General features: G+C 38.4%; 1 protein-coding gene across 4 annotated transcripts in view, besides 1 other annotated feature; it reads right to left on the bottom strand.

Annotated features, from left to right (window-relative positions):
* Positions 1–26,324, bottom strand: part of NELL1 (neural EGFL like 1) — a 906,136-nt gene that overhangs the window by 38,109 nt on the left and 841,703 nt on the right. For 3 of the 4 annotated variants that reach the window (NM_001288713.1, NM_001288714.1, NM_006157.5), the window contains one exon: positions 3,064–3,204. The exons of the other annotated variant lie outside the window; for it this stretch is intronic. In NM_001288713.1, coding sequence (NP_001275642.1) covers positions 3,064–3,204 — 141 coding nt within the window. The remainder of the gene's footprint in view (positions 1–3,063; positions 3,205–26,324) is intronic. 4 annotated transcript variants of the gene reach the window in all.
* Positions 5,420–5,589: an enhancer, noted in NCBI's record as "experimental_20387 CRE fragment used in MPRA reporter constructs". NCBI's record gives its function as "activates a minimal promoter by MPRAs in K562 erythroleukemia cells, with activity observed for both the introgressed and non-introgressed 11:21553620 variant alleles {active_cell/tissue: K562}" and the evidence as "EXISTENCE:reporter gene assay evidence [ECO:0000049][PMID:34662402]".

Here is a 26,324-nt window from a genome sequence, read left to right as displayed (position 1 = left end):
TATTATAACAAAGTGAGTAGGGAAGGATTATTTCAGAGAAAAGCCAGGGAGGGTCTCCATGAAGAAGCAACATTTGTCTGAGACCTAATAACATGGCAGCCATACAACAAGAGAGGTGTTGAGAGCTCCAGACAGAGAGAACAGTAAAGGCAAAGGCCCTGAAATTGGAATGAGCTTTTTGTCATGTTCAAGGCATGAAAAGATCAAAAAGCCTTATATATATAGGAAATGAGTCCAAGAAGCAGGCAGGAACAATATCATCTAAAACCATGAAGGCCATATAAAGTTAGAAATTTATTTTACACTCATTGGGAAGGCATTAGAAGGCCATAAGAAGAAAGTGTCATTATCTGACTTACATAGTTGTTTGCCCAAGAAATATTCTGAACCAACAGAGTACTCCCAACTACCACAGAAATAACTAAGTGAGGGTCAGATTTCTGTCCTGATGAAGGATCATTTACAAATGTTTTCCCAAAAGTGTGGAAATAAAAAGAAATTCAGACTACTACCCAAATTAAAAATGCCACTAATCCAATGACTCCAACTCCAAGGAGTCCAGTTCACTGACATTTTCCTTTGCAAAACAGGGATCAGGTTGTAGATGAAGAAAGACGCTCCTTGAGAGTGCAGGAATTTTACCGCATCCTTCAGACATGCCACTCAGCATGTTAGAGAGAAATGAGCACCAGGACAGGTGCCAGAGACATTTATGAGGGTGATAGGGCTCTACAGGTAACATTGAAACAAGAGGCATAAACTGAAACTATTCCTACATGTTCTCTTGACCTAGGTCTGATCCTCAACTTGTATCCAAACCAGTTATGTGGCTGGGAATGAGGTGTCACCTTTCTGAGAGTGAGTGTCTTTATTGATCACATGATATGATTGAATTTTCACATTTATTAAACAACAACCACCAAAGGGCCTCACTGAAGAAACAGAAGAAAAAAGCCCATTCGCTGCTCAATAGTCTAGTCAGAGAGCAAATATATTGTACAAGTGAAGCTACTGAAACATACACCAAGGAAAAAGATAGATCTAGAGTTAGCAGAAGAAAGGAGTGACAAGTCTTTGGAAGGCATCAAAGAATACTTCATGGGGACTTGGTGAAACGTGAGCTAAATTTAGGAAAATGAAATTCATATGTGAATCATCATGTTTCATCCCAGCCAGAGGGACAACGTATATAAAGGCAGAGAAGTGTGCAGTCCCATGGCAGGTCCAAACAGTTATAAAATTGGTTTAACTATATTGAATACACATAGACACAAAGATAGGAACAAAAGATACTGAGGACTGCCTGAGGAGGGAAGAAAGGGGAAGGGTATGGTTTGGAAGGCTACCTATTGTGTACTATGCTCACTACCTTGGTGACAGGATCATCTGTACACCAAGCCTCAGCAATGTGCAGTTTACCCAGGGAAGAAACCTGCACATGAATCCCTTGAACTTAAAAGTAGAAAAAATAATAAATAAAATTGGCTTAACTAGCTGGTCTCTAAGGTCCTTTGTGCACTAAAAAATCTAAGAGTCTCCCCTTTTAATGATGTCAAATATTATCTGTAAAAATTAAAATTTTCTTTTAGCCACCATGCTTAATGTCATATGTTAATATTCCATTTTCATTCCTCAACAATAGCCATTTGACCTGTTCCTATTCATATAACATTGATTTACAATGAGCTGCATATGTACAGAAGTACCTGGCAGTATGTAAAGGAAAAGAAATATGAACAGAGTATGGGGTAGAATGCTGAATACACAGTGACATTTAAAATAATAGCTAACATTTCTTGAACATTTAACAGATATTAACTCAATTATCACAACACTCATCTCAAAAACATATAAACATTATTTCAATTTCACAGATGAGATAGCTGAAATACAGACTGGATAAAAATGTACCCATGGTAAATGACTTAGAAGCAGCAGAGCTAGAATTTGACTGCCAACATCTGGTCCAAAAGTCCATACTTTTAGTAACTATACTGCATGCCTCTCAACAATAATGTCAAGACTATGGGGGATAATTCATGCCACGTGGCCATTGTTCTGTAATTCATCTTTGCTTTACATCAACATCAGTGGAGAAGTTGAAAAAACACTGACTATATCTCAGCAGCAGCCTTTAGAAAAAAAACAATATACCCTAAGCAGAGAAAACAAATATTCAAAATCAAATTCCCACTTTCTAATTCAGCAAGCTAAACTTTGGGAGCCCAAGGTCAGAATGCTTGGCCCCTAGGTTGGTCCAAATCAGCATTAAGAATTCAACTGAGGTGACACAACATGAAAGAATTGGATTGGCTAAGGTTCTCATGGAAACAGTTATGTTTTTGATCAGTTGTTCGGATTTCATGAAAGTTGTAAGGTCTTGAAGGTGAATAACTCCATCTGCTAATTTCCCGTGTTCAGTATTTAACAGAACCACAAGAAGAGACCCAATAAAGCAGACTTTTCAAGAGATGATGGTGGCGGTAATAGCAACAATAATGTTAATGCAACTATATCATATATGTGCATCAATTCAAATCTTGCAATTTTTAAATAGGTGGTATTCTTGTTTAATCTTAATATATGTATCTTGTTATCCTCATTTTTACATATACACAGATGAAGGATTAGAGACTATAGTGACTCTTGCAGTATAAGAGATGAGATTCAAACTAAACTTTCTTAATCTAAATCCAGTATCCAGTATTATTTAACATTTCCTCATCTCTACAGTTGCCTCCCAAACTGTCAAAAATTTCAGCAAGTCATCACGGTTTTCCTTAGAAAGAATTAAGAAGACTAAGGTTTTCCTTAGAACAAAGCCATAACATATAGACCCAGGTTTTGTTCCTCTGTCACAGTTTCTATATAAAAATTCTAGCACCCCACTTTGCATGATCCCTGGCCTAATCCCTGAATTGTAGAGGGAGAAAATTTGAAAACTGATGCATTTAACCAATGAATGGTCATATTTTAACACTGGGAGCTGAACAGAGTACCAAAGCAAGCCACACCTCCTGCAAAGGTCCAAGCAGTTGGAGGGCATGCCTGAAAGCTGCTTACCAATACAGGACTCCCCGGACAGTGAATAGGTCCCATCGTCATGGAAACCGCTTCTGCACTCACAGTGGTACCACCCTGGCAGGTTAACGCAGCGGGAATGGTTGTGGCACTCAATGATTCCCTCTGAACATTCATCAATATCTGCCTCAGAGAAAAACACAAGCCCACCAGGATATTAATTTCTTTTGACACTAACCTTTCAGGAAATGCCTAAAACATGCTCATGTCAACATATCAATTAAAACTGTTTAGTCACCTACAATGAAAGTCACTGGAAGAAGCAAATCCCATATTTTCCAGAATTCAAATGAATTGAAAGCTTCATTCTTGGATGTTTTCTCTCATATTGAACAATGAATGAGAGCTTATGGTCACAAAAAAATCCTAACTCAAAAGCTGTGTTGTCTCTGAATAACTAGGTTGAGGGTGTTTGGCACAGTTTTGGTATTGGGTGTATATGACTTTTTTTTTGGATTAAAAATTTCTAAATTGGCAATTCCAGATTTTATGGTGTGTCCTTTGAAAATTTTTATGAACAAATAAGTTCAGGACACTCTGGATTAAATATTATTAAACTGATTTTTTTAAATGACAGCCCCAGAGACTTGTCATAATTATATGTCCTGCAAAGCTTTGAGATAAGATTGATAATACACACTGTTTCCGAAATTTATTTAGCTAATAATTACCTTTTCTTGGGATACCTTTAATATCTTGCAAAACTAGTGTTGTGGGGAACACAGTTTGGGAACTATCGTTCTATTTCTTTTAAAACTATGGATTGATTATGCTAGTCCATCAGAGATTCTCATTCTTCAATCATTCTTGAGGAAAGGAAGTCTCCTAGGCTTTTTTTGTTTATTTGTTTGTTTTTGTCTAGGCTCTGGCTTTTTAGAATCACCAAATACCCGGTTCATGTATAGATTTTCTAGCACAAAGCCTTGCCTCTGCACTGAAGGAGATTGACACCATTGCAGAAAACAGAGTTGCCAATTTTTAAACCGGGTTCAGTTCATTGTAACAGAATTTCTCCAAGTAATTATTTCTTAGAATGTAGCTACTGCTGCCTGGGAATCTTCTTTGACTTGTCTTGGAAATATCTGAAATATGGGACTCATATGAATATAAATTTAATTAACATTGGAATCTAACCCATAATGAACAAAATGTACTTTGCAATTTCTTTTAACAGGGCCTATAAGAAGCATCAGTTCAGGGGCAATCAGCTACCATTGGTTCTATTATCTTGACAAGTCCCATGTTGTGCACCGGGCTGTTAATTTAGTTTGAAACTGGGTAATGTCATCTCAAGGCATTCTGGCCAAGTAAAGAGAGAAAAGGTGTAGTTCCTCATACTGTGCAACTCCAACTCAATGGTCACCTTCTTCTTCTGTAGCATGTATTGTTCAGCCCATTAAATCTTTTCACATACATCATCCCTTAGACTTCTAAATGCCCTCAGTCCCTAGGGCCTAATATTTGTATAGGATCTTCAGATATTGCAGTTAGGCTGTGTGTGTTTATTATAAATTCCCAGAAAATAAATTTCCAATCACCATGTAGATTGTCATACCTCAAATTTTACAGGTCCAGGTTCTCTGGGACATATGTTGGATCACTAAAAACTTTAAAACTTCAAGTAGAGAAATGACTAAGGGCTGTGGCTCCTGGAGGGAAAGGGCTTATTCTAAATAACACAATCAGCCCACTGCTTTTTGAATACCAGGCAAGAGACACACATATAAACAGACGGCTGATTATAGAGATGACTTCTCTATGTTAGGCTGAAGGATAACTCTCTGTAACAAAGCAGCAACCAATTCTACCTCTGACATTTATTTCCAAAGCTCTCAGAAAAACCAGTCATGATTAACACAGACCCTGTTGCCTACAGGCTGTGGACAATACTTTAGGTAATAGCCATGGTTAGCGTTTTGGGAAATCAGGAGATACACAAATAGAAGCATCTCAACCAAAGCAATCATATGTCCTGGTTTGCCTGGAAAAGTCCTAGTTTATATCTACTTCCCTTTTACTCTCAAAACACCTGAGTTTGGAGGATAAATTATCTGATCAAATAAAGTAACTCCTTCAGCCCTAAATTCAATAGAACATTTCTAGGAAGAACAGAAGTGTTGAATGATGTGCAAATACTTTTTCAATTCACAGATATTTCTATTCCCAAAATGAAACGATAAGGAGTTTCCATGATTCAGCAGGGCAGAAGTTATCTGTATAGCACAGGAGTCTTTCAAAAGCAGTGAAGACAATCAGACAGTTACACATCTACAACTTCCCCAGGGACACTAGGGAATCCCTGGCTTGCATGGGAAATGAGAAAGTAGTGGAGAAGCCCATTTTGCCTGACAACTGTACTTTTCACAGACGATTCCAGAAACTCACTGGAAATAATCAGGTTCACATCACATGCTGGTGCCTAGGCTGTACATTTCTGTTCTCTGTGCAAGGTCTATAATTAAAGCCAGAAAATTCATTTTTATGTACCATATTGTACTTGAGAGGGGCTCACGTTTTCACTGTGTTCCTAACACTGGCTTTCTTCTGTGTAGGTAGTCACAGTAGTATATAAAGCAACCATCACAGACCCAAATATAGAAAACACTTGGAGGCTTTTCAGCAACACTTTGGGGAATTTACAAATTATAAATGATGGTTTCTTCCCAAGCTAGGTTGTGGCTGCCTTTGTCCTCAGAGGCAAAGATTTGTTTCTCCCAGTCAGCACTCCCTACAGGCAAACAAACAAGACAGAAGCTCTAAGTTCACTACAGAATCAACTCTCATTCAAGGAATTCTGATAAATTACTGTGAGCCTGGCTGGCTGCACTCACAATGTGTCAACCATCCCAAAGGAAACAAACAAAAAGTCACCTTTCCTCCTACAGAAAGTCCTAAAATCTTGTTTAAATCTCAGTTTAATCCAGCACAGAGCTGAAAATGTGAACAAGGAAACAAGAGAAGCTGGGGGATTGTTGAGTGAGATACTATGGAGTATTCATTTCTGTATCCTCAGAGTCAAATGTCGACAACACAATAACTAACATATGGCCTGGGTCACACAGCTTACAAATGGTGAAATACAGTTCAAAACTAGCTAGAACTAGTTTTTGTCACAACTATCATATCTTGTTGACAAATCAAGAAAGGATTATTTACAGAAAGATAATACATTTATTCAATTCTGTAAATATCTGTTGAGCTAAAAATATGTGCAAGGATTATTTTTGTGTTGTGTTCAATGCAAAAATGGATGAAACATGACTCCAAAAATCCAGGAGCTCATAATCAAAGGGAAGAACTATATACGTATATGTGTGTGTGTGTTTGTGTTTTGTATTTCATACTAATAGTTAAAGTTTCAAACAACCACCAATATCACCAACTCCCTCCCCTAGTAACTCAGTATCTGTACACACATCTATTTTAGTACTTATCTTGTCCTATCACAGTGATTTCCTTTTAGTGTCTATCACTCAAATGCAAATTTTCCAAGAAAACAGACAACATTTTATGCAGGTTTACCTTGCTAGGGATACCTGGAAGTGGGAGTACCAAGCAATTTGAAAGTGCCCAATACAAGTCCCTGGGAATGAATGTATGAAAAAATAAATGACTGGTAGATTGAATGAAAGGAAAAATTAACCAAGGCTATAATGGAGATTTTCAAAATACCCCAAGATTTCCTGGTGTTTGCAAGTCACAAACTACAATGTCAATTCATAAAACTAAAGAAAAAGTAAATTTAATATTTACATGTTATTTTCCTCTAAAAGACATTATGTAGTTTCTATTTAATACTTTGCTTCTACCTCTAATCTTTAGATATTTTAAGTGGGCAAAATAGGTAACAAAAAAGTTATAATTGCAATGGTGTTATTAGGAGTAATTTTAATCATGATTATAATTATAATAATTATAACAATTTCTATAATTGTTGCAATGAAAAGTCCTACGTGTGCCATGAATTTTTCATTTACAATGAGAAACAGACGAATACCCAAGGTTTGTTTTCATAAAATGTATCCTAAGCAATACCTTTAATCCTTTTGGGGCATATGGTGAATTTCCTAGAGAAAGCAATTTGCAAACAAATCCTTGAATTCCTGTAAAATCCATCTCTTGAGCTGGATGGATCTCTTCCTCCATCTAATCTCTTTCCTATTGGATTTGCAATTTGACAATTTATAAAACCAATAAAGGTTTTCTCAAAGCTTATTTTCAAAGAGGTACTTTCGTATTTCATACTAATAGTTAAAGCTTGCACTGAAGTAGTGGCTCAGGTTGTGGATAGATTATACCTTTCCTAAGAGTTTTTAGGGTGATATTGAGTCATGAGAAAAACTTTGATATTTTCATTCATTCAACAAAAGTTTATTGAGCACCCACCATGTGCTAGTACATTTGCCCCATATACTAAGCACTGTATTATATCCTCTGATGCAGACATAGAGAGATAAGGTCTCTGCCCTCCAGATACATAGAGTCTAGGGGGCAAATAGAATGTAAAAGAAAAATAAACTGTTGTTATAAATATAGACTTTAGAGACAAACATGACTTCAAATTCCTGCTTAATAATGCACTAATAATTATTTAGATTTCACAAGTCTTTGTTTTCTAATCTGTAGGTTGAGAATGATAAAATCAAACATCATGTGACTGTTAAACAAAAAAAGACTCTTAAGCACAGTCTGGATATTAACTTTGGACTAAATATTACTGCTATAAAACAGAAGACAGAATAAGTTGATTCTGAAAATAAAAATATATATAATAATATCAACTTGCAATCAGGAAACTGGTTAGGACTAAGAGATTATTTCTGGAACCTTAAAAATAATCATTTGGATTTTGAGACAAGTGTAACCTTGTTAAGCATTCAGGAATAGAATCTATAAATCTATAATACATGCCTCATAAAGATTTAGATTCTCTTGGTCACCAAAAAACTTCACATAAGTTTAAGGAAGTAAAATCAGCAACATAAATTGTCACAAGTACAGCAAACACAAACCTGCTTATTTTCTGCTATTTGCTGAATGCCAGAATTGTACTGAACATAACATGCAAAGACCCTGAGGCAGAAACAGGCTAGTTCTTCTATCTCTTGTTTCTCTTGGGTTCTTAGGGATGTGCCTGGAGCATGCTTCCTTTGAAGATATGTAAGGTCATGTGGCTGAGCTCTAGTTGCAGAGTTAGAAGTGATATAATTTCAATATGGGTCATAAAAATGCCTAATATGATCCTCCAGAATATTTCTACCTGCTCACTACAGGCCAATTTCCAGGAAAACCTTGGAAATCACGTATTGAAAATAGTACAACATTTTTCTGCCTGGCTTCCTGCAAGGCTATGTAGACCAGGGCCCTTCCACAGACCTGAAACTGTCATAGGCTATTTAGGTGAGTAAGAAATATATTTCTATTTTATTGAGCCATTACTGCTTGGAGTTGCTTTTTATTGCTAGCCAGCATTTCCTAATTATTATGAGAGACCCTTTTCCATATTCAGGGAAAAGACTGTGCTCAGGTTAGAACTCATACTGATGCAATATCTAAAAATAAAAACAGAAACAAGCAAACAAGGAAAAAAACCCAGCACTAATCACAGATTACGTAGGCAGCTAAAGGAGTGGAAGAAGTTTTTTGCTAAAAGTCAAGAGTCAAGATAACACATAAAACAAGACAAAGCTTTGTAGTTAGATATGTTTGAGTTTGAATTCTGATTCTGTTACATGACTTTGACTTTGAGCAAGTTATTTATCTTTTTTGAGCTTCACTTTCTTTGGCTTTTAAATGATAACATAACTGTCTTAGTCCATTCTGTGTTGCTATAACAGAATACCTGAGATTGAGTAATTTATGAAGAAAAAAGATTTATTTTGCTCATGATCCTGGTGACTGAAAAGTCCAAGATTAGGTAGCTGCATTTGGTGGTGGTCTCAGCCTGCTTCAAGTCATTGTGGAAAAAAAAAAAGGGGGGGGGGGTGGGTATGTGCAAAGAGATCACATGGCAAGAGAGGAAACAAGAGAGAGAAACTGATGAACCAGACTCCATGGGAGCTAATCGATTCCTGCCAGAGAGAACTCATTCACCCTCACGGGAGGGCATCACTCTGTGCATGAGGGCTATGCCTCCATGACCCAAACACCTCCTACTCGGCCCCCCTCCTAACACTCCACACTGGAGATCAAAATCAGCATGAATTTTGGTGGGAACAAATCACATCTAAACCACAGCAATTACCTATGCCATAATGCTGTTGTTTTAAAGATTGAATGAGATCAATCTAAAAACTACAAATCCAGGTAGACATTCATTAGGCAAGTGATATTTATCGTTCTGTAACTTATAATCCCCACATTCCAAGACAGTCCAAATCTCCAGGCTTCAGTTCCTTCTGTGTAAAATGAAAGGACTGTGCATTTATGGCCTCTATTAGTGTGATGGTTCATATTGAGTGTCAATTTGATTGGACTGAAGGATGCAAAGTATTGTTCCTGGGTGTGTCTGTGAGGGTGTTGCCAAAGGAGATTAACATTTGAGTCAATAGACTGGGAGAGGCAGACCCACCCTCAATCTGGGTGAGCACCATCTAATCAGCTTCCAGAGCAGCTAGGATAAAAGCAGGCAGAGGAACGTGGAAGGACTAGACTGGCCTGAATCTTCTGGCCTCCATCTTTCTCCTGTGCTGGATGCTTCCTGCCCTCAAATATCAGACTCCAAGCTCTTCAGCTTTTGGACTCTTGGACCTAAACCAGAGATTTGCCAGGGACTCTCAGGGTTTCAGCCATAGGCTGAAGGCTGCACTATCAAATTCCCTACTTTTGAGGTTTTGAGACTTGGACTGGCTTCTTGGCTCCTCAGTTTGCAGATGGCCTATTGTGGGACTTTAGCTTGTGATCATGTGAGTCAATTCTCCTAATAAACTCCCATTCATATATTCATCTATCCTATTAGTTCTGTCCCTTTAGAGAACCCTGACTAATACAGATTTTGGTACTGAGAGTGGGGTGCTGCTGTAAAGGTGCCCAGAAATGTGGAAATGATTTTGGAACTGGGTAACAGGCAGATGTTGTAACACTTTGGAGGGCTCAAAAGAAGATAGGAAAATGTGGGAAAGTTTGGAACTTTCTAGAGACTCGGGATGCTCAGAAGACAGGAAGATACGGGAAAGTTTGAAACTTCCTAGAGACTGATTAAAGGGCTTTGACCAAAATGCTGATAGTGATATGGACAATAAAGTCCAGGCTGAGGTGGTCTCAGATGCAGATTAGGAACTTTTGGGAACTGGATTAAAGGTCACTTTTGCTACACAAAGAGACTGGCAGCATTTTTGCCCCTGCCCTAGAGATCTGTGGAACTTTGAACTTGAGAGAGATGATTTAGGGTATCTGGTGGAAGAAATTTCTAAGCAGCAAAGTATTCAAGAGGAAGCAGAGCATAAAAGTTTGAAAAATTTGCAGCCTAATGGTGCAGTAGAAGAGAAGACCCCATTTTCTGGGAAGAAATTCAAGCAGGCAGCAGAAATTTGCATAAGTAATGAGCCAAATGCTAATCACCAAGAGAATGAAGAAAATGTTTCTGGGGCATGTCAGAGACCTTCCCAGCAGCTCCTCCCATCACAGGCCTGGAGGCCTAGGAGGGAAAAGTGGTTTTTGGGGCTGAGTCCAGGGCCCCTCTGCTGTGTGCAGCTTCAGGACTTGGTGCCCTGCATCCCAGCTGCTGTATCCCAGGCTAAAAGGGGCCAGTGTATAGCTCAGGCCATGGTTTCAGAGGGGGCAAGCTCTAACCCTTAACAGCTTCAATGTGGTGTTGAGCCTGTGGGTGCCCAGAAGTCAAGAATTGAGGTTTGGGAACCATCGCCTAGATTTCAGAGGATGTACGGAAATGCCTGGATGTCCAGGTAGAAATTTGCTACAGGGGCAGAGCCTTCATGAAGAACCTCTGCTAGGGCAGTAAAAAAGGAAAATGTGGGATTGGAGCCCCCATACAGACTCCCCACTGAGGTACTGCCTAGTAGAGCTAGCTGTGAGAAGAGGGCCACCATCCTCCAGACCCCAGAATGGTAGATCCACTGACAGCTTGCAACACACATCTGCAAAAGTTGCAGACACTCAATGCCAACCCTTGAAAGCAGCTAGTGGAGAGGGGTGTACCCTGCAAAGCCACAGTGGCGGAGTTGTCCAAGGCTGTGGGAACCCAATTCTTCCATCAGTGTGACCTGGATGTGAGACATGGAGTCAAAGGAGATTATTTTGGACCTTTAAGATTTAATTACTGCCTCATTGGATTTCAGACTTGTGTGGGGCCTGTAGTCTCTTTGTTTTGGCCATTTCTCCCACATTAGTGTATTTACCCACTACCTGTACTCCCACTGTATCTAGGAGGTAAGTAACTTGCTTTGGATTTTACAGACTCATAGGTGGAAGAGGCTTGCCTTGTGTCAGATGAGACTTTGGACTTTAGACTTCTGAGTTAATGCTGAAATGAGTTAAGACTTTGGGGGACTGTTGGAAAGGCATGATTGGTTTTGAAATGTGAGAACATGAGATTTGGGAGGGGTCAGGGCAGAATGATAGGGGCAGAAATCTCACCTTGGATTGTAGTAATCCCCATGTATCAAGGGTGGGGCCAGGTGGAGATAAAATAATCATGGAGTCAGTTTTACCATATTGTTCTTGTGGTAGTGAATAAGTCTCATGAGATCTGATGGTTTTTATAAATGGGAGTTCCCCTGCACAAGCTCTCTTCTCTCCACCATGTGAGACTTGACTTTTCTTCTCATTCACCTTCTGCCATGATTGTGAGGCCTCCCCAGCCATGTGGAACTGTGAGTCAATTAAACCTCTTTCCTTTCTAAATTACCCAGTCTCAGATATGTCTTTATTAGCAGCATGAGAAGAAACAAAAACAGCTACTTTTAATATTCTAGAATATGGGAGACCTTAGCTTTGGGCTCATAGCTTCTTCTGCTGCTAACCAGCTGAATGACTGCTAAAAGGTTTAAGGAACCTCTTTGTACCTCGGGTTCTTCATTAGGCAAATGGCAATTTTAAAAATACAAATTTTGTCTGCCTCACAAACAAGTTCCAATAAGGTATGAACAATCTCCGCAAAGTCAACTGATTGTCTCATAAAATATCTGGTGATGTCATTATTGCTGTTTCTTCTTTGTAAGTCCTTATTAGTAACTAGTTTTTGTGTATTAATCTGAAAGGTACCTGCTATTAACAGTGAAGTCAGTAGTATTGACAATATAGCTCTCTAACTTTCTTCAGTGACTCTGCACAAAACAATCCATTTCTTCCTGGATATGGCCTTCTAATTTTATCTCTGAAGCCTTTCTGTATTTTCTCTAACAAACTGTGCTCAAATTCTTCCTAAAAGAACCCATCTGTTAACATTTCAACTCTCACCTTTATTCTGGAAACTCTCTGATCTATATCTCTAAGCTGACCTCTAACACAAACTCAGAAACGCATTTACTATTGCCTATGGATTTGCAAATCTCATAGGTCTCTTCATTTCAAACTTATTCTGCCCAAAGCTTTACATGACACATGTGTTTCTATGTACCAAATTCATTTTCCTCCCCAGCACTCCTTCCTCACTGTCATTCCTCATAACCAATGAACAAAACTATTGAAATTTGACTGCTATGAAACTTGAAGATTTTAAAAACATGGAACTAAATCTTATTCACTCCAAGACTGAAAATCCTATGATTCTGTGATTTTTAAAAATATCCTGCTCCTCTAGTAATTACAAATGATTCTTATTGTAAAAATCTCCTATCAGGCATTCAAAGCACAAACAATTTGACCTCACTTTGACTATCAATTTGCCTTTATTTCTCAAAATTCTTCATCATAAAACCTTTGCACTCTCTCGAGTGGTTGCTTTACATACCCACCTATTCCATATTCCATTGAATTTGAGGCTTCCCGCCCTGCAAGTGATTGTTTTTAAATTAAAATCCAAGCACAAATCTTAATTCCACCAAGAAGTCCTCTTTCTTTTCTCTGAATTCCTATAGTGTTTAACAGTTCTACCACCCCATTTAATTCTGACATACATTCTATTTTAGAATATTCTACGATTCTTACAGTTTCTCTATTAAATAGGAAGAATTTTTGAACTTCCATATATTAATAATTTACTACGTGTCAGGTTCTCTGACAAGTGCTTTATATTCACAACTCCATTTGATCTTCAGAATGCCTCTGAGATCATTTGAATTGCTCTAATTTTACTGAAAATGGAGGTGTACATGTTTAAATAACATACCCACAGTAAAACATCTGGAAAGTGACAGAGTGGGGATTTAAACCAAGGTCTACTTAACTCCCAAATACATACATTTAATCATTATACTATACAGCCTCTTGTACACTTGGGGGAATACATAGGACTTTGAAGAAACTATTAAAAATATGTTCAAAATGTAAAGAAAAAACATACTGAGTTGAATAGTGAACAGATTTCTGCTACCAACCAAGGTATAGTAGCAGGGATTTAATTTGTTGTCTCATCTGAAACAAACAGGAACAAATGCATACATATACATATACGTATGTATATATGTTCTCATATATATATACACACACACACATATGAAAAAAGTTTTCAAGATACTGGAAATTAGATAACTAAGAAAGTGATCCCCAAGAGACATAAAACAAATGATAAGAGTGCTACAAGTATCCTAGTTTACTACCTTGAGAGAGGTCCAGGCCATGGTAGAAGGAAGAAAACCCATGAGGAGCCTAGTTAACTACCTGGTTTGAGGATACAAAGATGGGAATATAGGAAGACCAAGGCAAGCAGAGGTTATAAAGCAGAGTATTGGAGAGGAGATAGCTGAACAGAGAGGTAATTTTGAAGTTCTGCAGAGAATACCAGTCAGGTAATCAGCAAAGTGCTAATCAGAAAATAAGTGTGATGAAATTATCCAAAGCTGAAGAAAGACCACCAAAATGTATTAGAGGTAATAGAGCCTGGTGCTTACACAGGAAGAGGAACAGTGCATGCTTCCAAAAAGCAGACTGGGGAATCTCATAGGCATTGGATAATATTGGATCTACAATATATATTTAAAAAAATGCAAAATAGTAGACCCAAACCCAACCATATCAATATTTACAATAAATGTATATTTATTAAACACTTAAAGGCAAAGATTGTCAGACTAGTAAAAAGCAATACCCAATTTTTGCTGGATACAAACGATGTATTTGATACAGAAGCACAAACAAGTTAAACTAGAAGTATGGGGAAAGATATTCCATGTAGACATAAATGATAAGAAAACTAGAATAGCTATATTGGTTTCAGAAAAAAACAGGATTCAGCCGGGTGCAGTAGCTCACACCTGTAATCCCAGCTCTTTGGGATGCCGAGGCGGGCGGATCACGAGGTCAGGAGATCAAGCCCATCCTGGCTAACATGGTGAAACCCCGTTTCTACTAAAAATATACAAAAAAATCAGCCGGGCGTGGTGGTGGGCGCCTGTAGTCCCAGCTACTCGGGAGCCTGAGGTAGGAGAATGGCGTGAACCCGGGAGGCAGAGCTTGCATGAAGTGAGCCAAGATCGAGCCACTGCACTCCAGCCTGGGTGACAGAGCGAGACTCCGTCTCAAAAAAAAAAAAAAAAAAAAAAAAGAAAAGAAAAAAATAGGATTCAAGATAAAGAAAATGTGCAAAGATAAAAAAGGTATTTCATAAAAAGAATGAATTGGCCAAGAAGATATAACACTCAAATATATAGATTTGAAAATTTTCTTTGTATAAATTTATGGGGTACAAGTATAACTTTGTTACCTGGCAATATTACATAGTGGAGAAGTCAGGGCTTCTCGTGTGTCCATCACGGGATGTACATGTACCCAGTTAAGTAATTTCTCATCATCCACCTCCCCTCCCACCCCGCACACCTTCAGAGTCTCCATTTACTATCATTTCACATTGTACGTTCATGTGTACACATTATTTAGCTCCCACTTACAAGTGAGAACATGTGGCATTTGTCTTTCTATGTCTGACTTGTTTAACTTAGGACAATGGCCTCCAGTTTCATCTATGTTGCTGCAAAAGATATGACTTCATTTTTTACGGCTAAATAGCATTCCATTGTGTATATCTAACACATTTTCTTTATCTAATCACCTGTTGATGCACAGTTAGGTTGATTCCCTATTGTCATTATTGCGAATAGTACTTAAATTAAAAGATGATTGCAGGTTTGTTTGTTTTTTTTTTTTTTGAGACGGAGTCTCTCTCTGTCACCCAGGCTGGAGTGCAGTGGCACCATCTTGGCTCACTGCAAGCTCCGCCTCCCGGGTTCATGCCATTCTCCTGCCTCAGCCTCCCCAGCAGCTGGGACTACAGGCAGGTATCTTTTTGATATAATGGCTTTTTTCCTTTGGGCACAACAGAGTGAAGAGACAGTCTGCAGAATGGAAGAAAATATTTGCAAGCCATGGATCTGACAGGAAACGAATATCCGGAATTTATAAGGAACACAAACAACCCAACAACTAATCAAACAATCTCACTAATAAGTAGGCAAAAGATATGAATATACATTTTTCAAAAGTAGACATATGAATGACCAAAAGTATATGAAAAGATGCTCATGGCTATTAATCATCAGAGAAATTCAAATTAAACCACAAGATATCATTTTACACCAATCAGAATGGCTATTATTAATAAGACAAAAATTAACAAATGTTGGCAAGGATTCAGAGAAAAGGAACACTTATACACTGTTGATGGGAATGTAAATTAGAACAGCCTCTATGAAAAACACTAGAACTAAAAATAAAACTACAATTTGATCCAGCAATTGATATATAATTTTTAATGGCAAAACTTCAAAACACATGAAATGATAATAAAAGAACCAAAAGGAAAAAAATACAAATCTAGAGATTTTAACCTCTATTTCAGCAATTGATACACCAAAAAAAATCACCAATATAGAAGACATGAACAATATTGGCATTTCTTGAACATTATACCCAATCACTGTAGCATAAACAGTTTTTACAAGTGCGTGTGGAATGTTGACCAAGATGGAAAAAATCCTTGTTCATAAAACAATCCCCCCAAAATTCAAAAGCTTGAAATCTTACAGAGTGTGTTTTCTGGTCCCAACAGAATTAAACAGATATCAAATCAAAATACGATATTTAGAAAAGGTACAAATATTTGGAAATTACACCAGTTCCAAAAGCCAATGAATTAAAGAAGAAACTACAAGGAAAATATAAAATATTTAGGACTGAATGATATTATTAAACAACAGGCTACAATCTGTGGGAACCAGTTAAAGCAGTGCCTAGAAACAAATGTGTAGCTGTAATACTTACATTCAAAAGAGAGAAAAGTATAAAGCCATAACTTTAGATCTGTAAGAAACCAGTAAAAGTCAGGTACATAGATTTTTACCCTACATCTGGTCCTACCCCCAGAATAGGGTATGTGAGATAGGATTAGTACCAACATAAGGGTAACCATAGGACTCTATTGAACTGAAAGAAATATTTCTAAATTTGCCCTGAGGCAGGATAGCCAGATGCATTTATTTTTAAATTAGAAACAAATGAGAGACCAAAAAATGTTTCTGCACATCAAAACCAAAGGAAGGAGTCAAGGACAAATGTTGGAGGAGTGGTCAGGGAATACAGATCTGGGAGAATAGAAATTAGGTCAGCATGAGGTAAGGAGCAGGTGCATGGGGAGGGGCCGGGGCTGAGCACTTGAATCTTAAGCGGGTGCTGATGCACCTTTAGACACTGGGCCCTCTGTTGTAAGTGACACCTTAACCCTGCTTACCTCTCCTCTCCCAAAAGAAACATATTGGCTCACAAAATGTACAAGTGTTGGGGCTCTAGACTCTATGGGATCCATGCAACTAAGCAATATTATCAGGATTTAGGCTCCCTCTGTATCTCCACTCTTATCATCATCATATTACCACCCCTATAGGCCAGAACCTCTTCATGTAATGGCCTCCAGATGTTCTAGGCAAACATCATTTTAAATCTGTCAAAGGGAGAGATTCTTATCAATAGTACTGGCACAAATCTAGGATTTGAGCCGCATTCATCTTGATTTGGTTACATGATGAGTCCTGAAGTAGTTACTGGGTTCATGTCTGGTTACCAGCCCACCCCTAGAGCAAGAGGTAAAATCAGCACTACTTGAGATATCTTAAACTGAGAATTTAGAAGGGGTTGTTCCTCAGAAACTATTGGAATGCCCTTACTAGGATAGGAACTGAATTCTGGTGAGACAAAATCCACAGATGTCCCTTAGGCCTCTTTTTATGTCAGTCCTACGGCATATTGTGAGATGGATGTATTGGCGGAAGAAATCATGCTACTTTGACAGCGTGTGTGTTTTCCTTTGGAATGCTCCTCTGTCTAAAGGGCACCTTCCATATCTCTCTTCTCCTATTAGTGCCAGATCAAAGTTGTTGTTGTTGTTGTTTTTCCCAAAGCGATTGATATGGGTATTTATTGTTGTCAAGAAGGTAAATTAAAAAGGTGTCAATGTCATCTTATGAACTATGTATGAAAGATACCTCTGAGGATTCTGGGAAAATAGCAGAGGAGTCAGCACCAGGAATCTCTCTCCCAACCTGGACTATAATTACACTGGCAGAATCTGCCTGATATAACAATTTTAGGACTCTGGAGTCTATTTGAAGGCTTGCAACTTCCAGGGGAAGGCTTCCAGGTACGTTTCAGTCAATTTTAGCCAGTAGAGTGGTAGCGGCTGTACATTCCCCATCCTTCATCCTGGGGGCAGGCACCATACAGATTTTGTCTTTCTGCTCTACCCTGAGTGATACACCTTCCACCTCCCACACATTCACTTTCAATTAGAAGAACCTTGACTTGCTTGCATAAAGAGTATTGCCCTCTTAATCTAAAAAAAAAAACAAAAAACAAAACAAAACAAACAAACAAACAAACAAAAGGAAGCCTATCTCCTAGCCCAAGGGGTAAATCACTGTTGGTCTCAATCAGTGGTTCTCAAACAGTGGTCCTCAGACTAGCACCATTAACATCAGCAGGAAACATATTATAAATGAAAATTATCTGGTCCCACACAACATACTAAATTAGAAATTCTGGGGGTAGAACCCAGTAGTCTGTATTTAAACAAGCTTGCCAGAATCATCTGAGAACTCTACTTTGAGAACCACATATCTATAATAATAATGGAATTTTCATCCTTTTTCCCAGTGATCTGTCTAGATAAGGGCATGTGACCAAGTTCTTGCTAATGAGAAGTAAGGAGAAGTCTGCTGGAGATGGAGTGGCAGTGGGGTTGACTTTCATGGTTAAATGACAGAATTCCTACTATGTTCATTCTGTGTAGTCAGCTGGCTGGAGAACGTGAGGACTAGAGAGATACAGCCTTCTTTAGTTTATGGGAAAAATTCCAATTAAATCACAGAAATACCAAACTAGGCCTTTGATGTCATTGAGCTGCTGAACCAACCCTGGAGCTACATATTGCCAGAATTCATGTCATGAGAGAGAATTAAAGACTTTATTATTAAGTCACAATTACTTGAGATTTCTATTACTTCCAGCCAAAATAAATTCAACCAATGGAATATTTTTATCTCTATTTTACAGCTAAAGGAAACAAGTCTGAAAGATATTAAATAATTTCCATAAGGCAACATATCTAGTTACATGGTATTCTAAGTTTTAGGCTTGCTTTTCTCTGAATACAAAACTTTATGAGGCTACTCTACCTCTCAGTAGATCACACTGTCACTCCCACCAAACTACAAGCCTGGTGGTGGCCAGGGAGCAAAGGGACTACGTTTCACTTCTTCCCTTATGCCATTATATCTAATCCTTAGTTGCTTTATGAACTTAAGAATTCTATTCTGAATGATGCTTTATTTTCCGGCTTAAAAGGAGGAATACAATTTGATTTTTAATTTATTCTTCATGATGTTAAACCTATCCCTTTAAAGACAGGTCCACATTTTTTACTTTGAGTATTCCAATAGTCTGCATTATTCATATTAGAGGTATTTATGCAGACATGATCAATAAGATAATTCACCTCCAAATGAAACAAGGAGGCTTCAGCCCTGAATGAGAACTGAAGAATTTAAGTAAGTCAATCCTTTAGAGAGCTTCACCATATTTCTGTCATCATCTGATTACACCCAGAGAAAAATTCTTTCATGTTGTGTAAAGGGCAGACAAGTAACCATCATAATGAAAAAGTTATTTTGGAAAAAAAAAGCTTTTGTCAAATTCACAAAGTTTTATCATTGTGCTTCTGAAAGGGGGAAAATCAGCACCTTTTTTTTTTTTTCTTCAGTGAGTTGGGGAAGAAATTAAGATGAGAAAATTCAAGAACTCTTAACAGATAGAAGCACTAGGGTTTATGATTCCCAAAGAGCATTTATGCCGTTTTGTCTGCTTGTGGCTCCATAGCATCCTGGATGCACTTGGCTTAAAAATATCTTTACAGAACTCATGCTGCTCACCATGGATCCAGAGTCAGAGCTGGTCTCATGAAGAAGCATCTGCGACTTGAAAAGGTTGGAGCCAGGACCAAGTAACAAGTGGAAACAAAGGGACTGAATCATTTCTCACTGAATAAACCTAACCATATATCTTGAAAAACCACTTTAGTATGTAGAGAAGAAAGACTGTTGAGAGGGTAGATTATGTGATGGAGATCAATCAGAAATGACTTAAAGGATAATGTCATTGCCCATGACCATTTGCTGTATATCCCTTTTTAGTGCCCATGGAAAAACAACTCTTTTCTATGGTGTGGGTTAGCCATAGTGATACTGGTTATGACTAAGAACGTCTAAATCCCACATGCTTAGAAATCATTGAATCATAGAGGCACAGAGGATTGACATGTCTATACGCTACCATATTCAAGGTCATACATTCCGAAGATTACAGAATCCAGGCAAGCAATCTAAATGAGTGATGTAGCCCAGGTGTTGGTAAACTAGAGAGCGTACATGTTCTGCCCAAGGGGAACAGCTATTATGTAGCTCCAAAAATGTTACCATGCCTTGCTGGAATCCCAGAAAAGATCATTACTATACCCAGTCGAAGGTTTATTCACCGTCTGTCTAATTGGTTACAAGGTTGGTTTTATTTATTTGTTTGAAAATGTCATTTAGACCAACGCTGTGCAGGGCAGGACACATAAAACATAGTTTTCATTGAACTTGAGCTTTCAGTTGCAAATTCTGAGCCCAAAACCACTCTTCTACATGTAGAAAAGTTGAGGTCCCCATGAGAGAGGTGATTTGCCTAAGGTTTCCTAGGTAATAGGACAAATACTTAACAGCATATACCATGAATCAATTCAACAGCTGTTTAAAGAATACAATGGTGGCTGGGCGCGGTAGCTCATGCCTCTAATCCCAGCACTTTGGGGGCTGAGGCAGGTGGATCACTTGAGGTCAGGAGTTTGAAACCAGCCTGGCCAACATGGTGAAACCCCGTCTCTACTAAAAATACAAAAATTAGCCTGGTGTGGTGGTGGGCGCCCTGGGAGGCTGAGGTAGAAGAATTGCTTGACCCTGGGAGACGGAGGTTGCACTGGGCCGAGATCATGCCACTGCACTTCAGCCTGGGCAACAGAGCGAGACTCCGTCTCAAAAAAAAAAAAATACCAATGCCAAATCGCTAGATATATTTAAAAGAAGAGTGTGTGTGTCTGTGTGTGTGTGTGTGTGTGTATGTGTGTGTGTGTGTGATTGACAGACCATGTATACAACAGTGATCCTATAAGAGTATAATATATTTTTACTGTACCTTTTCTATCTTTAGATATGTTTAGATATACAGATACTCACAATCATGTTACAATTGCCTATAGTATTCAGTACAGTAACATGCTGTATAGGTGTGTAGCTTAGGAGCAATAGGCTGTACCACATAGCCTACGTGTGTAGTAGGGTAGACCATCTAGATTTGTGTAAGTGTACTCTCTGATGTTTGCACAAGGACGAAATGGCCTAATGATGCATTTCTTAAAATGTATCCCTGTTGTTAAGCAATGGGTAACTACACATACACACACACACAAGATACACACACGTGTACAGGCATCTATCACCTAACATATGCCCACTCAAATATTCTGCTAGATGCTAAAATTATAAATAAGGAAGAGGATGAATAGTTTTTTCAATGCCTATTAAGTACTCAGATACTATGTTTTAGTCACCATAGCAACCCTGATAAGTACAACTTACTTTCTCCATTTTATAGATTAGAACACTAGGAGTATATGTCACCCTCCCAAGGCCACAGAATGGTGCATGATGGACCTGGGATTCAAGTTCAGGTCTGTCTAATGCCAAACACTCTGTTCTTCTATAAGCAAAGTTGCCCCTTTCTTCCACCTTCTTCTGTGAGACCATAAGTAACCACACATGGCTTCTGCCCTCGGGGATCTCACAGTCTGCTGTGGGAGGAAGATGTAGAAACAAGTATGTCTCCAGGAGAAATGCAGTGTGAATAATACTGAGAAGCAACAGCATTGCTGAGAAGACACCCAGGGCCAGCTCTGCATGAAGCTACTCGTTCAGCTCATTAGAGCTTCATTTGCTCTACCTCCTCAACTTGTAGTGAGCAAAGTTCAGCTGCCAACTTCCTCCTTGCAATCTCTAGACAATGTTCTGGCTTCAAAATCAAAGTCAGATCATGGAGTCCTTAAGAGAGTCTTTTTGATGTGAAATGCTGTGCCTTGGAGGCTTAGCAATAACAACTATCCCTTAGGGCAGGTGCAGCATGGAACCGTAATGGATGTGCTATCATACAATATCTTTATTGATCCTCACATTCCACAGTGAATTAGGCACTTTAAGGTTCAAATTCTCCCTTCAAACATTATGAAACTGAGGCCCAAAGAGAAAATGGCTCAAAGTGGAGAAGTCCAGATGGGGTCTTCTGCCTCTGAGCTCTATGTTCTTTATAACATAATATGCTAGGTATTCAGGTACTGGGGGATGGAGAAGAAAGTTAGTGGCAGGTAGCAAGAGGAAGGCCCCCCACAGAGAATTAGTTAAACATGTTGCAGTGGGATTTGATTCTAGTTGATGATATCTGCTTCCTCTTCATCTGCTGAACTTTTACTTTTCCTATGTCTTTTTTCTTTCAGTAATTTTCAATAAGCTACTCCCATCTGTCCCCTCCTATCATTTTCCCATGACTTATGCCAAAGACTGAGATTTTCAGAAAGAAGTAGAAGCACAACAGTCAGAGAAGTCTACAGATTGTTTCTATTGAGGACCACATGAAGGTCTGTACTGTAAAAATCATGCACATGTTTACATATAATTAAAAGCAAATAGTAAAAGGGAATTATTAAGTACTTTGTGTCAACACAAAAGTGCCAAGAAATAGGAAAGTCATTTTCAGATACTTTCGCCATTTGTTCATTGCTTTACCCTCAATTTTACCACCTACCCGCCCTACCTGCAAGCTATAAGAAACCCCTCTAAGAAGGATTCTATCACCCATTGCCATCGCTGTGACCATTAGTATCACCTACCCCACCCAACTCCTGGCTTCTCAATAATGACATTGGCAAAGGAACAAATACATTGGAAGCCAGTCCTCAATAATACAGGACAGGACTGTACACTGTAAAAGAATAGTTTCTCAATCCATAAGGCAGGGCTTTCTTGTCACAAAGAAAACTGTCCAAACCCCTGTGACAGATGTATTCCCACAGCCTTAGCATAGATGACCCAAACAGTCTGCCCCCTGGCCAGAAACAGCCCACACACATTGTGTGATTTCGTTTGGCACAGGGGAGCTATATTTAAATATTGAATCAGATGCCAACATTAAGAATCTGGATGCCTGGCATCTCTAAAAAAAACAAAAAAGAGATTAATCTGGCAACCTTCAATTCATGTTGCCACATGGGTACAACTGGCAGAACATGAGGAGCAGGTGCTGCCTTTAGGTGGCGCATGGACTCTCCGCTGCAGAGCAGTCCATATCTGGCTCACTTTACTCATACTTGACAGATTTAGAATTCTGAATCTGTGACATCTGCCCTCATATTGACAAGGGCAACAAAATTTCTAAATTCTTTGGCTGGCACACCTCTAACATTATAATTATGTTTAGCATGGAACTCCAACATCTTCATTTTTATATGCCAAATATACACAAAATTTGGAATTAAAAATTATAAGGCAAATATTTTAAATCAATTTAAATTGACAATGTTAAATTGTTATTTGTTAATTTTACAAAACTATTTTCTTTAATGTATTATTTTGATATTTGCAAAATGATGGAATATGTTAGATTCTGAAAATCTTGCTTTGAATTGTGTAACATTTTCTGTGCTAACTAAATGACACTGCCAGGTCAATCATTTGCAATCGAGTTGTTTTGAATTAAAGATTAATCAAGTTTTATGTTTTTGCTTTTGATAAGATAAATACCAATATAGCTGGAAATGCTAATATTTCAATACCAGCATTGGTATGCTCAGTCCTAGGCACAATGCCTGGAATCCCAGGCAGGGGTGGGTGTCTCATCATCACTCTAACATACTCACCAGGGGGGCTCAGGCTCTAAGACACGTATTTTGAGTCAAATTGAACCAAACTCAAGTTCTGGCTCTGTTCCTTAATTGGCTATGGAACCATGTATTTTATATTTCAGTCTCAGTTTCTTCATCACTAAAATAAGAGAAATAATCGCTATATCTCCATGATACTTAAATTAGATAATGCCTGGAAGTTGATTATTGGTTTCAGATTTCAGAGTCCATGCTCAATACTTGACAACTTTTATTATCCTAAATATTATTAATTTCATTCTATTTTAGCTTAGTTAACAAAACAACAATCTCTGACTGACTCAGAGTTTCAAGCATGTCTTTGAGAAAACTAGGCCTATTTTGCAGTTCCTCCTTTTCCATCTGTATGTAAATATATATACTTTAATTTGAAAAAGATATATTTCCGTTAATAGAATCACAAATAATAGTTATTATAGTCTGGCAAAAGTATTTTTTTCTGATATCAAGCCACCAATGTGTCTCTCTCACACACACAGATGTACACATACACACATTCACTGAGGAATGACTTCTTTGCAAAAGAGCAAATCCATATTATTTTTGGAAAAAAATAAACACACTTATAAGAGAAGAACAGTTTGCATTTGGCTTTTCTTCCCCTTACTCAGGTATTATTTCACAGGCATTAATTTTTCCTGTGGTGTTGACTACAATTCACTGAGTAAAATGGTGCTGGAGGGTAGTGAATTACAAATCAGAACCTAATTGAACAGCAGGAATAGACTGATTGGCATTGACAAGTACCTCTTCTGTGCAACTTCAGTAGGGCTGCCTGGGGTCCCAAACCATAGCTGACTGTGGCCTTGCTGCTTAAGAATAAACTTGATGTCCAATCACCTTGACTACTGGCTTTGATTAGGGAAATAGGTGCCATTAACCCCACTCTTTAAATCCAAAATGGTCAAATGTATTTTTCATTTTTAACCCATCAAATATCTGCTGAGCATTAGCTACCTGCCAGGAAACATGTTCAAGCATTGGCGGTAATAGGTTCGGTTAGGTGGAATGTCAACAGGCTTCGTTGGTTTATATCTGTTGCATATTTCTTTTTTTTTTTCTAGTCATGTAGCTTTTATTTTCACACAATTTGGGATGGCATTTTATAGATCTGTTCTTTACTGCCTATGTGGCTTTTCATTCTTCATCCTTGTCTCCCTTGTCTTTGAAATAAAGATAATCGATCTTGCCTTGTAGACTATTTGTGACTATTAAATAAGACTTATTCTACTACTATTTGTAGTAGGTGAATATACACGTTGGTTTTCATTTCCCCCTTTCTTACTAGGGGCACAAAGTTGAATTAGACCCTCTCCTGGCTCTCAGTAGTACATTTTCCTTGAGGGAGACAAGCACATATATAATTACAATATAAGAAAATATTATAATATCACTATATATCAAGCACTGTAAGTATAAAATCAAAGCTATATTGTCATTCTCCCTAATAATAAAATATGCAATAAAATCCTTGGATGACATACTCCCTGATAACATGATTTCATTATAATGTGACTTCTGAGTGTCAGTTAGTCTCATACTCTGTCTTGTCCTAATTATCTAACAGAGGTGGGATAAGGTGTTTATCTTTGGGGGAGATAGAAAGAGAAGAAAAGGCAAGGCCAGCATTAAACAGGAGGCTGGCCTGCTTCAGGAAAGACAATGGGCCCCATGTGCTCAATATTCTCTTAGCTCACTCTTCTGGGATCATTTCAGCTAAAGAGGTACCAACTCACAAGGGTATTTCTGGAACAGCTGCCATGTTCCAGCTAAGACAGGAACAAGAGGTGTTCTCAACATGCCATTGAGGCTTGAGGACCATCGCCACCAGGTGGCACCAAATAGGCAGCAAGAATGGGGTGGATCTGGGCCCTGGATCTGACTCAAGTAGGCAGGCTCATTCCAATTATGTCCTCTTTGTTATGATGTCAGCTTGCATCTTACACAATACAGTATTTTAGTCCCGTATTGTCCATATGTGGGTTCTATTGTGTTTAGATTTTAGTAGGAGCTTTGAACAATATTATGACTCCCTATAAGATCTAGACTGTCCTCATGCTTTTTCTCATCCCATACCATTCTTCCCTGAGCTCATTACACTCCAGACATTCTGGCCTTCTCAAATCCATCATCTGTGTTGGAGCCTTTGCATGAGCCTTTGCATCTACCTGTGTTGTGTTCTTAATATATAATCCTTCTTTTATTTAGCTCGCAGTTCAAATGCCACAGTCTGAAAAAATTTTCTTTGACCACCATTTTTGAAGTAGCTTTATCTTTTCAGCCTCCCTAATCCATTACCTTGCTTCCTTTTCTTCCTAGCATTAACCAGTATTTGAGATGATCCAGCATATATCTTTATTGTCTCTCTTCCTTCACTGCACTGTAAACCCAGGAGGCCAGGGACCTTATCTTTCTCATCCAACATCATGTCTCCATAACACTCCAGATTGCCGTTGGTGAGAATGGCAGGCTTAGTGGAGGGCGCTTCTCTGGAGCATTACTTACCCCTTGCTGAGGCAAATAAAATAAGCCAAATAGTAACTCTTTCTCGAGGAAAAGTACAAATAAGAAAGTTGTAGGAAACTAGGATGGGTTAGAGGAAGTAAACATGAGATTA

The sequence above is a fragment of the Homo sapiens genome, chromosome 11 (genome assembly GCF_000001405.40).
Source record: "Homo sapiens chromosome 11, GRCh38.p14 Primary Assembly".
In the NCBI taxonomy this organism is placed as follows: domain Eukaryota; kingdom Metazoa; phylum Chordata; class Mammalia; order Primates; family Hominidae; genus Homo; species Homo sapiens.
Note: the sequence above shows the minus strand (reverse complement) of the source record. Positions and strands in the feature narration are given on the sequence as shown.